The 12,483-nt window shown below is 41.1% G+C and overlaps 3 annotated features.

Annotated features, from left to right (window-relative positions):
• Positions 3,650–4,849: an enhancer, noted in NCBI's record as "CDK7 strongly-dependent group 2 enhancer chr4:129308825-129310024 (GRCh37/hg19 assembly coordinates)". NCBI's record gives its function as "activates an origin of replication core promoter dependent on BRD2, BRD4, P300/CBP, MED14 and CDK7 cofactors, with strong dependence on CDK7, by STARR-seq in HCT116 cells {active_cell/tissue: HCT116}" and the evidence as "EXISTENCE:reporter gene assay evidence [ECO:0000049][PMID:35650434]".
• Positions 9,194–9,363: an enhancer, noted in NCBI's record as "experimental_73985 CRE fragment used in MPRA reporter constructs". NCBI's record gives its function as "activates a minimal promoter by MPRAs in K562 erythroleukemia cells, with activity observed for both the introgressed and non-introgressed 4:129314454 or rs76828607 variant alleles {active_cell/tissue: K562}" and the evidence as "EXISTENCE:reporter gene assay evidence [ECO:0000049][PMID:34662402]".
• Position 9,279: a transcriptional cis regulatory region, noted in NCBI's record as "Neanderthal adaptively introgressed variant 4:129314454 (GRCh37/hg19 assembly coordinates) or rs76828607 in the experimental_73985 CRE". NCBI's record gives its function as "modulates activity of the experimental_73985 enhancer by MPRAs in K562 erythroleukemia cells {active_cell/tissue: K562}" and the evidence as "EXISTENCE:reporter gene assay evidence [ECO:0000049][PMID:34662402]".

Genomic DNA, 12,483 nt, shown 5'->3' on the forward strand with positions numbered 1-12,483 from the left:
TAAGTGCTGAGGACATTAAGATGATAAGGCACTGGCCCTTTCCTTGTAGGAGCTATCATGTAGATAGTAAGGGAGACAGACATTGTGAAAAAGGATAATTAGACCACAATATCTTCCATGCCATCATTGAGGTATGAAGAGAATGCAGTGCGACCCAGAAGATGGAGTGACTGACTTGTCCTAGGAAAGTCAGGGAAGGAGGGAACCCTGGGGCTGGGATTTAAGCATAAGGAGTTTACTCATTTGCTGAAGTTTTGTTTCCCAGATTTTAGTTTGATCACACTACCTCATAAATGTTAGAAAACATCTTCTGGCCAAATATGGTCTCAGCATTTGTTCTTTTGGTTCTGCAATTAGTGACAGACCATAGTACCATAGTAGCATCTCTGGAATGTTCTTCTGAGCCGAAGAATTTAAAAGATGTCATACATAATCAGAGATAAACTGCATTCTTGAGGCTTAGCAGATAAATGCTCCAATTTGTTAAGAAGTTTTATGGGAGACTTTCATTTTGGCCACCCAGTATTTACTTCCTGTGGCAATAACGCCATGTTAAACAAATTATGAATGGGAAAGATGATCATTCTGAAATGGGAATGTAGAAGCTCTAGGTCTGGGCCAGATGGATAGAAGCTGCTGTCACTTGGTGTTGGGAATGATTTGGACTCTGCACACACAGTTGGGATTCCCTTCAAGGTTATTGGACTACCTTAGACCAGAGGTTTGGCTTGATGGTTATGTCACCATCACCAGCGGGAAGGGCAGCATGGTGGCACCGTCTCTCAGTGGCCTTCCCGACGCCTCCAATGCGATTTCTGTTCATCTTTAAAGAAATAAAGTCTGATTTAGAGCTTTGTATTTCTTTCTTAGTGTTCGTTATAAAAGTGACCATTAAATATGAGGTTTTAGTGACTAAAACAGTTGGAGGCTACAGCTGGGCTGACAGCTTTAGTGGAGAGTTTATTTTCTTTCTTTTTTTCCCTCCTGCCTGGCTTCAGCTTTAAATTAGATTGTAATAATCATAACAAAGCTTCTCCCTGCCCTTAGTTGAAAGCACATTGCAGACCTGAACTCTTTCTGAGACTTTATTTATGACGGAATCCCACACCATTTTAGAGCTTTCATCTTCCATGTGCTCAGCATTTTATGGGTCTCCGTTTTCTGTAGCATTTCTGAAACCATGGTTCAAAACAATGTCAATTCCCTCAGGCACCAGAAAGATCTAGGAAGAGTGTGTCCCGCTCTCCTCATTGTTTGCATAGATGTGTTGACACTGTCATTGTGTTAACTCTGGAATACACAGTAAAGTGGGTTAGTTAAGGCTTTAACTAACTTTGACTAGTATGGCTTTGCAGCCTTATTTCCTGGGTATATTCCCAACTTAGGTACTTATTAGCTGTGTGACCTTAGATACCTTAGCAAACGTTTCTGTATTACATCTTCCTAGTTGTGAAGAGAGAACAATGGTAGCACTGACCTCCAAGAGTGGTTGCGAGGATTAAACGAGTACTTTCAGCACTTGGAAGAATTCTTTGCAGCAGTAAGTGCTTAACAAATGTGAGTTGTTGGTATTATCCCAGAAGTTCATGAATTGATGAAACTGGATGGTCGAGTAGTCATAAAATAATCCTCCTTTACTTGGTCTGCTTGTTTGTGCTTGCTAATGGTATGGTTAGAAGATTTTAAAGGTTAGACAACCACAGTCAATTGGTGGCTACACTGAATTATCATTTCCTGGAGACAGCAGGAGGCAGTGTAGTTTAGCTGTTAAGAGCATTGGGTTTGGAGTCAGAAAGCCTAGTCGAGCATCAGTTCTGTTTCTTACATGGCCTCTTAGTGGCTCAGTTCCCTCATCTGTAAAATGGAGCTAATTCCTCACAAGACCTTTTGCAAGAAAAATGTATGTGAATGTCTGGAGCACACATTAAATACTCAAAAAAGTTGTTGTGGGTGAGGGGAGGAGTGAGGGGAAGAGAGATTGATTTAAGGTCAGATCTGTTTGTTTATCATGAGTTCCCTGGTAACAAGCAATGGAGATGGGAGTTTGCTCAGAGCCGTCAGCATCCAGCTGTGAAAGGGAAACACTCAGGCTCTTTTAACTTTGAGAATGTTGACATAAATTACAAAACCAAGAAGGACAAATGGCAATTTGCTGCTGTCAGTATTATAAACATCAGTGTGAGGGTGGACAGTTTAGCTCAGATGAGTCATTCCGGGTCTGTCCTGTCTTGTCCAGAAGCTTCACTTGCATAAGATGGGGTACCATTGGCAGAGGAAAGAAGCAAGCTAAGGACCCAGTCTGTCTTCTTACTGCTGGAAATAGTGGCAGTGGCTGGGCTGTCCCAGGGTTTATTCACTGTTACAAGGTTCTGAAACTTTAGGGGGTATAAAACTCAAGTGGGGAACTTGTTAAAAGGGCACCTTCCAAAGCCTTATTCACAAACATTTCAATTCAGTAGGTTGTTGGTAGGGCCCAGGAATCTGCTTGTTTTCTGGCTCTCTAGGTACTTCTAACACAGGTGCTTAGAAACTACACTTTGAAAAAGACAATTCCAGTGAGATTGGGCAGAGTAAAGTTTCCGTGTAGGAGGAGCTGCCTCTGCCAGGCTTTTCCCCAGCATTATGGTTTGCTTCTAAAAAGGAAGCAAACAACCAGAAAACAAAAAAGCCAAATTTGCTTTATTTTGAGTCAAAGCACCACTTAATAACTTGTGTCAATTGTTTCTCACAACACTGCATGAAAGACTTAATATTAATTCCATTTGACATTAGAGGAGTCGGGGACTTTTGGTGCAAGCATGAATTAGAGGCAAACATTGCACAGGTTCTTCAGTTTGTCTCCAGCCATCTGGGTATTGCTAAACACATCTGTTTCTTCTCTTGGAGAGGATGCCCCAGTGTTGTCACATGATTTAAATTATGGCAAGAGTGGAGGTTCCGTTTGTCCACTTCCCTGGTTTGCAGGGATGGCTCGGGGGAGCCTTGCTTTGCCGTGACTGGCATTCATCCAGGGCCCGGGCATTTAACTCTGAATTTTGATTTGGGCATTTGCCTGGTGTGATATTCTGCCAGGGCCTTCCCAGTCTGTTCTCTGCTGTTTTGCTCCTGAAGATTTATGGCTAATGAAGGGATAAAGAAAGGTCGTGGCGAGAGGCGGCAGCATGTGGTGGTGACTCATGGTCTGGGCCTGGTGTGGAGCCAGTTTGGGTGGAACGCTCCACTGGCTGCTGTGCCTGTTTTCACGTGGCTCTTTGCCACAGCCCTGCAGGAGGCAGTTTCTTGCCTGTCTCTGGTCAGAGAGGCCTGGTGATTCTGCCTGTCTCCTGCTGTTATGGACTCAGGTCAGGGCACTAAAGCCTGGCGGCCTTTTGACAAACAGTCTCACAAATGGGAGCTCAGGAGACAGTGGGATGGGCCGGTCCTGGGAAGGGCTCCAAAGCCACTCCAACGTGGGGGACACAGTAGCAGCATGGGCCGAAGGAAGTCAAGTGAAGCTACTAGCAGGACAGGGTTTCTCAGCCTTGGCACTGTTGACATTTTGGACAAGATAATTCTTTATTGCGGGGCTGCACTGTGCATTGTAGGATGGTGAGTGGCATCCCTGGCCCCTACTCACTAGAGGTTAGTAGCCCCACAGCCCCTCTCAGTTAATGCAACCAGCAAAATCACCCCTGGTTGAGAACCACTGTGGTAGGTTGGGTTCCAGGCATGTGGCCAGGGTTAAGAAGATCCATCCACCATCCTGTTTTTATTGAGTACTTACCACGTGGCAGGCATTCTTTGCATTCATTATCTCATTTAATCCCCATAACAACCCTAAGATGAAGGAACTCTATTGCTCCCATTTTCTGGATAAGAAAACTGAAGTTTATAAAAGTAACTTGCCCAAGGTCACATAGTGTGGGGCTCATATATGTGTCAGATGCCCTTTCCTCACCCTGTGGCCATATGTAATGAAGCCATAATATGGAAGCCTGGGAGAAAAGCTGCAATGCGTGACAACAGCTGGCATGTAGTGTAAGGGGGTGCTGCCTGTTGAGCTCCAGGGCTGAGATTGAGGAGTCTAATTACAAACCCTGTGGAGATAGTTAAGGGCTTACATGAACTTGAATACCAGGTGGATGATTCAGATAGAGATGGAGCTACTGGAAATGCCATGTAGGTTGGGGGTTGGTTGCAGGTAAACTTTTACCTATGCCCAACTGTTGTCCCTCACTTGTTCATGACACTGGATCCCCTGAGATATGACTCCTGATGTGAGCCCAAATGTGCTTTTTCCACTTCAAATACTGCTCATTGGACTGGGGTCTCTCACCCCAACCTCCATTCCTCCTTAGGGACCAGCCCTTCTCTTGCCTGAATCTTAGCTTCTTCCACTGACACCACGCTGCCTTGGGTTGGGACATGCCTGAGCTATGACATGTACATTGAAATGACTAGACAACACGAGGTTGCTCGTCACCTCTGGCACAGTAAAGACCCTGGGACATGACAACTGAAGCTGGTGTGATCTCCAGTGCATGTAAAATACTTGTAGTTTATAGGAACTGATGATTCTGAATTGAATGCCAATCCTTGGGAAGGTTTTTAAAAGGAAAGATCAGAGTTTCTGATATTGTGGTTTCCTCAATATCAAAGGCACCAGGTGGAGGTGAGAAAGATGTTACCTGAAATCCAGGTGAGCCTCTTCAATGGGCTTTTTAAGGATGTTTTCCCATTAGTGGGGCAGGACAGGTTTTGGAGTGCATGATTACTTTGTAGTCTGGCTGATATCTAGAACCAAATGGGCTTCAATTTGGAAAATGACATTCACAGATAGCATTAGCTTGAATTACATGGATTTCTCCTCTATTTACACCCAATTAATTAGCACTTAAACACATGTGCAATGTGAATACTGGGAATACCTTTGCAAAAAGGAAAATTCTGACTGAGTTGCAAAGCCTGCTTGGGACCTGCAATTGTTTGGGGGGTCCTACTGCTCATGGACCTGATAGACGCTGATGTCCCACAGAGCCTTCTCAGTGTGACATTTTGCTCAGCACAGTCACTATGCAGGTTTTAGCATTTCTGCAAGACTGTGAAATAATCTCTGTGATTCCCCTGTGTTCTTAATCCCTTTTGCTCTTCTGTGGTGGTCTTGCCCTTTCTCAAGAATATTATCGTTGGTACTTGTTGGTTCAAGGGGGTGTCATTTGAAGGAACATCATATAATATAGCAAGACTGCTCTCTGGAAATTTTTTGCTTTTGCTCACTCTGTTTTTATTCTTATTTTGAATACTAGAAAAATAATATATGTTTATGGAAGATGAATTAGAAAATACAAATAATCAACAAAGAAAAAAGAGGAAAAAATTACCTTGTAATCATGCAACCCAGATATAGCCATTATTAACATTTTGGTTATGTCCTTGTGTTTTTGTTTCACTTTTAACAAAAGGAGAGGATAGAAGAAATTATCAGAACACATGTGGCATTTTTTTAGTAGAATTTTAAAAAATGCTTCAAAAAACCTTTTGATTTATTGGCAAATAGGTCCTGATGACTGTCAATGATGTACACAGTTTTGGAAATATACTAAGAAATGCCATATTAGTCTCCTTGCTGATAAAGGGTATATCTATAAGAGAAGTGTGTGTGTGTGTGTGTGTGTGTGTGTGTGTGTGTGTGTGTGTGTATGTAAATGAACTCTCTGTGGCTCCTGAAAAAGAAATTCTGTTCTGGATTTGTTGACTCACTGCCAAGCTCTGCTGCAGGCAGGGAGCAGATTCTAAGTTATTCAAGCCAAATATTTTCGCCCTCATGGTTTATTGGCTACTGTGACAGACTTCTCCTCACACCTCACCTCCTCACTGGCACGTGGACATATCAGGCATTTTGTTCATTTTGCTTCTCGATCTCTCCCTATTTCTTTCAATTACTCCTTAGCATTTCTTGAATTTATACGAGTACCACCCCAACTCGCTAATACACGTTAGAAATACCCAGACACTTCCTTCTTGAGGTCGCTGCAGGAATCCACCGTCTCCCTCTAAGACTTTGTTCATGTGTGAGCCTCCTTAGGGCTCCTAAGCTGTTATGAGGGAGCAGCTCCTCTCAGGGAGGGAGCACCACTCACCTTCATTCATTCACAGTCACTCAGAATAACACTGTTTCCTTTCCATGCCCAACATGAGATCAGGGTGTATGACTGAACTCAAGGTTCATCACACCCTTAGGGGGACAGGCTTGGGGGGATGAGAGAGAGAGAGGAACTGTGCTGCTTCAGTGAAGAACTCCTCACTCTCCTGGGTAAAAGAGAATTTTGTACAGGCTGTCATGACCAGTAAGCTATTGCTGAGAAGATGCATCCTAGGATGATAGTTTTAAAAAGTTAAAAAAAGAAATGTTTAGCTCCAGTTGGCAAAAAAAACTAGACACAGGAAAAGATAGTGTAGCCTGCTTTAAAGGATCACAAAGTATGAAGGAGACTGGATGGGTAAGGGCTTTATATGAAGAGCTTGCTTTCCAGCTCCATGGTGTTTCCCTCCTTCTGCTTTCAGTGTTTTTGGTGTGTTGTTTGAAATGTTTGGAAAAGATCCTAAGTCAAAATGAGGCTAACGGTAATTGCTTTCTAAGTTCCAAGCGCTGTTGTAAGCACTGATCATGTAGTCACTAATTTAAACCCTACAACAACCTCAGGGGAGGATCCATCGCCACTGTTTTACAGACGTGAAAACGTAGTACAGGCTTTAAGAAACCTACCCAAGGTCATACAGCTGGTAAGCTGCAGAGCCAGGATTCAGGCCAGGAAACCACACTCTCTGCTCTGCCTCCTCTTGCAATGAAAGTGGCCATAGGACTCTGAGTTCTAGTCAGAGCTCTGCTAATAATTTGCTGTGTTATATCTTTGGGCCTCAGTTTCATCATTTGGCTAAAAAATTATACAATCCTATAGATATGTTTATGCTATTCCCCTCCCCACTCCTACAAATCTTGAATACATCTAGAGAGATAAATGCAATTTGCCTCAAATGAAATTCAGATTGAATTTTGCATCTTGCTCCTTCCTCTTTTGGTCTTGATTCCACTTTCTCTGCAGGAGAGAATTGCTGTACTGCAGTCCAGTCACTGTTATAAGCAGAGACAGTTTCCTTGGAGCAGCTGACCTCATTGGGCCAGTCCTATTTAGTAATAAAGAGGGGTTTGTTATAGCTTTCCCATGAAAAGATTTAAGAGGAGCAATTCAGAGAAATGGAAACATTCTTAATTAGCAAGCACATCATCTCAAGTTTCCAAGATTTTTTAATCCATAGAGCAGAGACATGTTTAAAAGGAGAGACAATATGGTTTGAAGGACTAAGCACCAAACTGACCGAGGGAAATGCCTTTATCCTACTGATTTGCCACATGTTCCCAACAAGTCATTTGGCCATTTAGGCTTCTGTTTCCTTGGTGAGGTTGCTATGGTAAGGCCTGAAGAATCACCTGTAAAACTCGCTGCAAATATTGACTTCTGATGATCTTGTTCAACCTTGGGAGGTAAGGTTTCTCAGCATCTCATCTGTTTGTATGTCTCCTGGAAGCCTTGCAACCCTGACCCTACTGATAGAGCCCAGCTGTTGTCTCTTACCTGTTCATGACACCCACCTTCCTTGTTAACTGTCTGATGATAGGCTCAACGGAGACTGAGGTGTTTGTAACAAGGGTGATAGCAAACATGGAGCATGGTACTATTGTGGTGACTTTGTACTGACTCATCATCATCAATAAAATAACTTACTTCGTGAGGAACTCTGCACATATTTCCTAACATCTAGTTCTGTTCTAGGGGTTATCTTAAACTTGGGACCAACTTTCTAATTTTTTATCTCTCAGGGTGAAATGCATCCCTTTCTTCTTTATCCCATGCATAGGTAAACATTACCCATAGTCATGTTCTAGCTTTTAGAAAAAAAAAAAATTCTAGTCTGAATTTTCTCTCCCATTCTTTAACAGTATCTTTGTTTTCTGGCTTTTGCTCCGATATTCCACAATTCACTCTTGTCTCTGCTTCTGACCTTTACTGGTGCTGCCTCAAGACTCAGCTTCCATTAAATGAGATCATTTGTTCTATATTTAACTGAATATTAAAAAGACAATGGGCCTAGGAGGAGAACAAAACTTTGCCCTAATATCGGAGAAGCTGAGCACAAATATGGTGCTCAGGTGGAGGGGTAGGGGATGATGCCAGAATGGAAGATCGGAATCAGATTGCAAAAAGTCCCCTATGTCACATTGAGAAGTTTCAATTTTAAGTTTAAAACAACAAGAAATTCATAGAAAACATATATATGTGTATTCACATGAGATCAGATCTCTTGTTTAAAGAGGTTCAGTTCGTAGTTCAACAGAAATGTTTGATAAGCACCAATTTTGTGTCAGGGTCTATGGTAGGTGCTTAGGATACAAAGATGGGTAAAACATGCTCTTACTCTCAAGGAGGAGATGGAACTACAACATGACAAATAATAGTACAGGAGGAGTCAAGATTAATTTCTCAGTCTTTATGCTAACAGAAGTTTTTAGGCAGAAGAAGGACAATGTTTAAAAGTTAAATAAAAATAGCTCTGCTGGCTGGGCACAGTGGCTCACACCTGTAACCTCAGCATTTTGGGAGGCCAAGGCGGGAAGATCACATGAGCCCAGGAATTTGAGACCAGCCTGGGCAACATAGTGAGACCCTATCCTTATATTATTAAAATGATAATTTTTAAAAAAGTTCTGTTGTCAGTGTGGAGGGTAAACTAGACAGTAGAAACAGGGAAAGTGTTGAATGTAAATTTCCATTCAGTGTTAGTTGTCTTCATTATAATAATGATTATCGTCAACTTTTGTCCTTTTCACATGTGAAATCACACTTTGGGGACTCTTACCTAATACATTTCTTTCTAAAATTTAGTAACTGGCACCCATTTGGACAGATAAAACACAATGATGGTACCAAGACAGCAAGACAGTTGGTGAAGGCCAGATTTGCTTTACATACCAAGAGTTCTTGCCTGTTTCCAAATGTTTTGGGTGGATGTAGTTTCTTTGGAAATTGTCCAGCTAAGGCTTCTTATGAATAAAAAATGTTGCTCTAATTAAAATCATTCAGGCCCAAGTTACATTTTTCCAATAATTCACTTGTGATTTATAATTGGAGATATATACAATATCAAATTACCTAAGTGGGGAGGGGGAGGGAGGAAAAGAAAACTAAGCTCTGTTGTAAGAATCAGTTCAGAATATTGCTGACTTCATAAACGAAACCACTCAGGCTTTCTCCCAGGCAGCAGTTGATATATTTATAGCCTTGTAATTTGGTTACTTATCACTTAGCTTATAAGTGAGTCACCCATGAAATACATGCACAGAGACCAAACGTGCTAATTACAAAGGTAGAGTGTAGATGGGAGGGCCCTGTTAGGACCCCTGTTTAATAGCAGTGGCAAACTGTTGGGAAAGGATCATTTATCATGAAATGACATGAAGGCTCAAATGGCAGAGCTTTCGAGTCTGGCTTTAAAGAGCTATTCAGCTTTGCTCCTGTCAAGTGGGACTCCTTGTCTCATCATCACTGCCTTCCAGTTTGATATGCTGTGTTTGTTTCACGGAGGGGTGATGGGCGGGCAGCAGGGAGGGAGAGCGGTGGGAAGGATGGTAAGGGAGGCTCAGGGCAGGGAATAGCTGAGCTATTTGAGAGGAAGTGTTTGTGTTAACTTACTTTTTACTTCAGAAGTGACATTCTGACAGAGCTGTCAGAAATTACATTTATTTATTTTAAAATTTCCACATTATTTTTTTCCTGAAATGATTTCCCATTCCAGACTCTACCTGGTGAAATCTTGTTCATCTCTCAAAACTCATTTCAAAACCGACTTCCTCCATGGGAACTCAAAGGCCTTAAATTTTCTTTCAAGCATATCCTAGCATATTAAATTTAAATGGAAGGTGCTACTTTTAGGTGTAAGAAAAATTTCAAGTTATCAGCCAACACATTGTCCTATATCAAACAAAGGTATATTTAAGCTTATTTCATCAATTATTTCCAAAGCTTTCTTTTGTGACTAAAATTGTGGCTTCACCTAGCATTAAGAAGAATGAATTAGGCGGGGCATAGTGGCTCACGCCTGTAATCCCAGCACTTTGGGAGGCCGAAGTGGGTGGATCACCTGAGGTCAGGAGTTCAAGACCAGCCTGGCCAACATGGCAAAAACTGCATCTCTACTAAAAATACAAAAATTAGCCTGTAATCCCAACTACTTGGGAGTCTGAGGCAGGAGAATCGCTTGAACCCAGGGGGTGGAGGTTACAGTGAGCCGAGATCACACTACTGCACTCCAGCCTGGGTAACAGAGTGATAATCCATCTCAAAAAAACAAACAAACAGACAAACCAACTAACCCGAAAAAAACCCAAGAAGAATGAATCAGTTACTTTCAGGACCAATGGCATTCTTTCATTCTTTCCTCCCCCTATCCTTGTCCTTAAAAACAAAAAACAAAAAACAAAAAAAAAACAGATATTGGGAAATTTTCTTAAGCAAAGTTATGTATTCAAAAACCAGCTAGACCTGGAAAATTAATTCACTCTGCTCTGAATTTGGATGCACTCTTTTATCTCTCGACTTAACTCTCTGAGTGGTCCATTTTATCTATGGAAATCTAGTTTCAAGATGTTCTGGCAGCAAAGAAACTCAAAGCCAGATTAATTGCTAAATTACAAACACGAAGCCACAGTATTTAAAAGCAAGCTTCACACAAAATAATGTTTTCATGTTATTTAAAAGATATACTCCAAGTCTCCGTTTGGAGATTGGATGGTTTAATAGATCCTAACATGTACAGAGGGAAAACTACCCATCAGTACTTGGATACTCTTGTGAAGCTAGAGTCATATCTGGGCACAGGGAGGATGAAGTCTCTGTGGCCAGTGCTGAGCGTGGTTGCTGGCAGGTTTTGGTAACAGTGATTCAGAGGCTGCTGTTGATCACTGGGAGATATCTAGAATTACCGCCAATGCCTGACTTCAGGGCTCTTGGATTGGAAAGACTCAGGCGCATCCAAAAAACTCACCCCACTGTACCCTCCTCCACCCACATTCCTTCATTGCACAAAAAAAGACATCATTTGAGACTTAGGCTGAAATTGAGATGTCATTTCTTCATTCATTAATTCATTCAAGAGATAGTTCTTAGATGTATATTGTATTCTGAATACTGTGTGAGGTGGAAAAAAAGATCTATTTCAACAAAGCTCCTCTCCTATCCAGGCTAGTGTGGCATGAATTATTCTTGGTGAGCATATAAGGGGTCCTAGAGATAAATAGCAGCTTTTTCTGAACTACTAATGTATCATTTGAAAAATGATTTTTTAAAAAATTTAAGTAATTCATAAACATGGTTTAAAGCATCATGTAGTGTGGAAGGGCTTATACTGAAAATAATCATTATTCTGTCCTACTCCTCCCTTCTCAGAAATCCTCACCTTTAACCATTTCTGCTTTCTTTTGTTGGTAATGCCTGTAACTTTAAAAACATGCTTACTATGAATTCTTGGTTCATTCATTGTAGACACTATTGTAGATGAGAATTTTGCTCATTCTCCACCCCCATCTCTCTTCTCTTTTGTAATATAATATCACTGTTTTTAGTTCTTCTAAAGTTAACTTTTGTAACTCAGAATAATGTACTTAAACTCCTCTTTTTTGTTCAATCAGCTATGAACATAATCTCTTGACCATCCACTTTGTAGGATAAGGATATTCATATTCCTATCCTTTCTGCCACTTTTTAAATGCCTCCTCACCTTCTCTTTTTTCTCAGCTGTAATTTTGCCTTCACTGTGTCAAGTTGATAATATTTACACTTTGTCTGTAACATAATTATTTTCAAAAGTCATATAAAATTATCCATTGTAGAATTTTCTGAGGACTTATGTCAAGCTCAGTGGATCATTATTTCCAGAGTTGGAAAGAGCAACTCTGAAAAATTGGAGCAGTGTTCTGGCCTTTCTTCTACAGATTGTGATTCCTCACAAGGTTATTAATGATGGTCTGAGCTCAAACCTGAAAGTCCTTTTATTTCCTTGCATTAGAAATGTGTCTGGCTTAGAGTTTTGAGTTAAAGTTGCTTGATGATCTTTGCTATTTTCTCACCCAATCTTCTTAGGCAGACCTCATTTTCCTCTTAGTATTTCCATACTTCAGACCATCCTTGGTGGAGAGGAATGTTGCCAAGTCCTTTTACCATCTTCTACCTCTGTTATAGTGATAACACTATAAGACTACCTCTGTTATAATGATAACACTGTGCCATATTCCCCAGAGGTACCCTTCCCTTCCTTATTCATCTTGTCCAAACACATCTTTATTTTTTATTTGCTTATTTAAAAAAATTATCCAAATACTTGTTTTTGATTTTTGAGTTTAGGTTCATGGGGTACATGCACAGGTTCATTACAAGGGTATATTGTGTGATG

This window comes from Homo sapiens, chromosome 4 (genome assembly GCF_000001405.40).
Source record: "Homo sapiens chromosome 4, GRCh38.p14 Primary Assembly".
NCBI classification, from domain to species: Eukaryota; Metazoa; Chordata; class Mammalia; order Primates; family Hominidae; genus Homo; species Homo sapiens.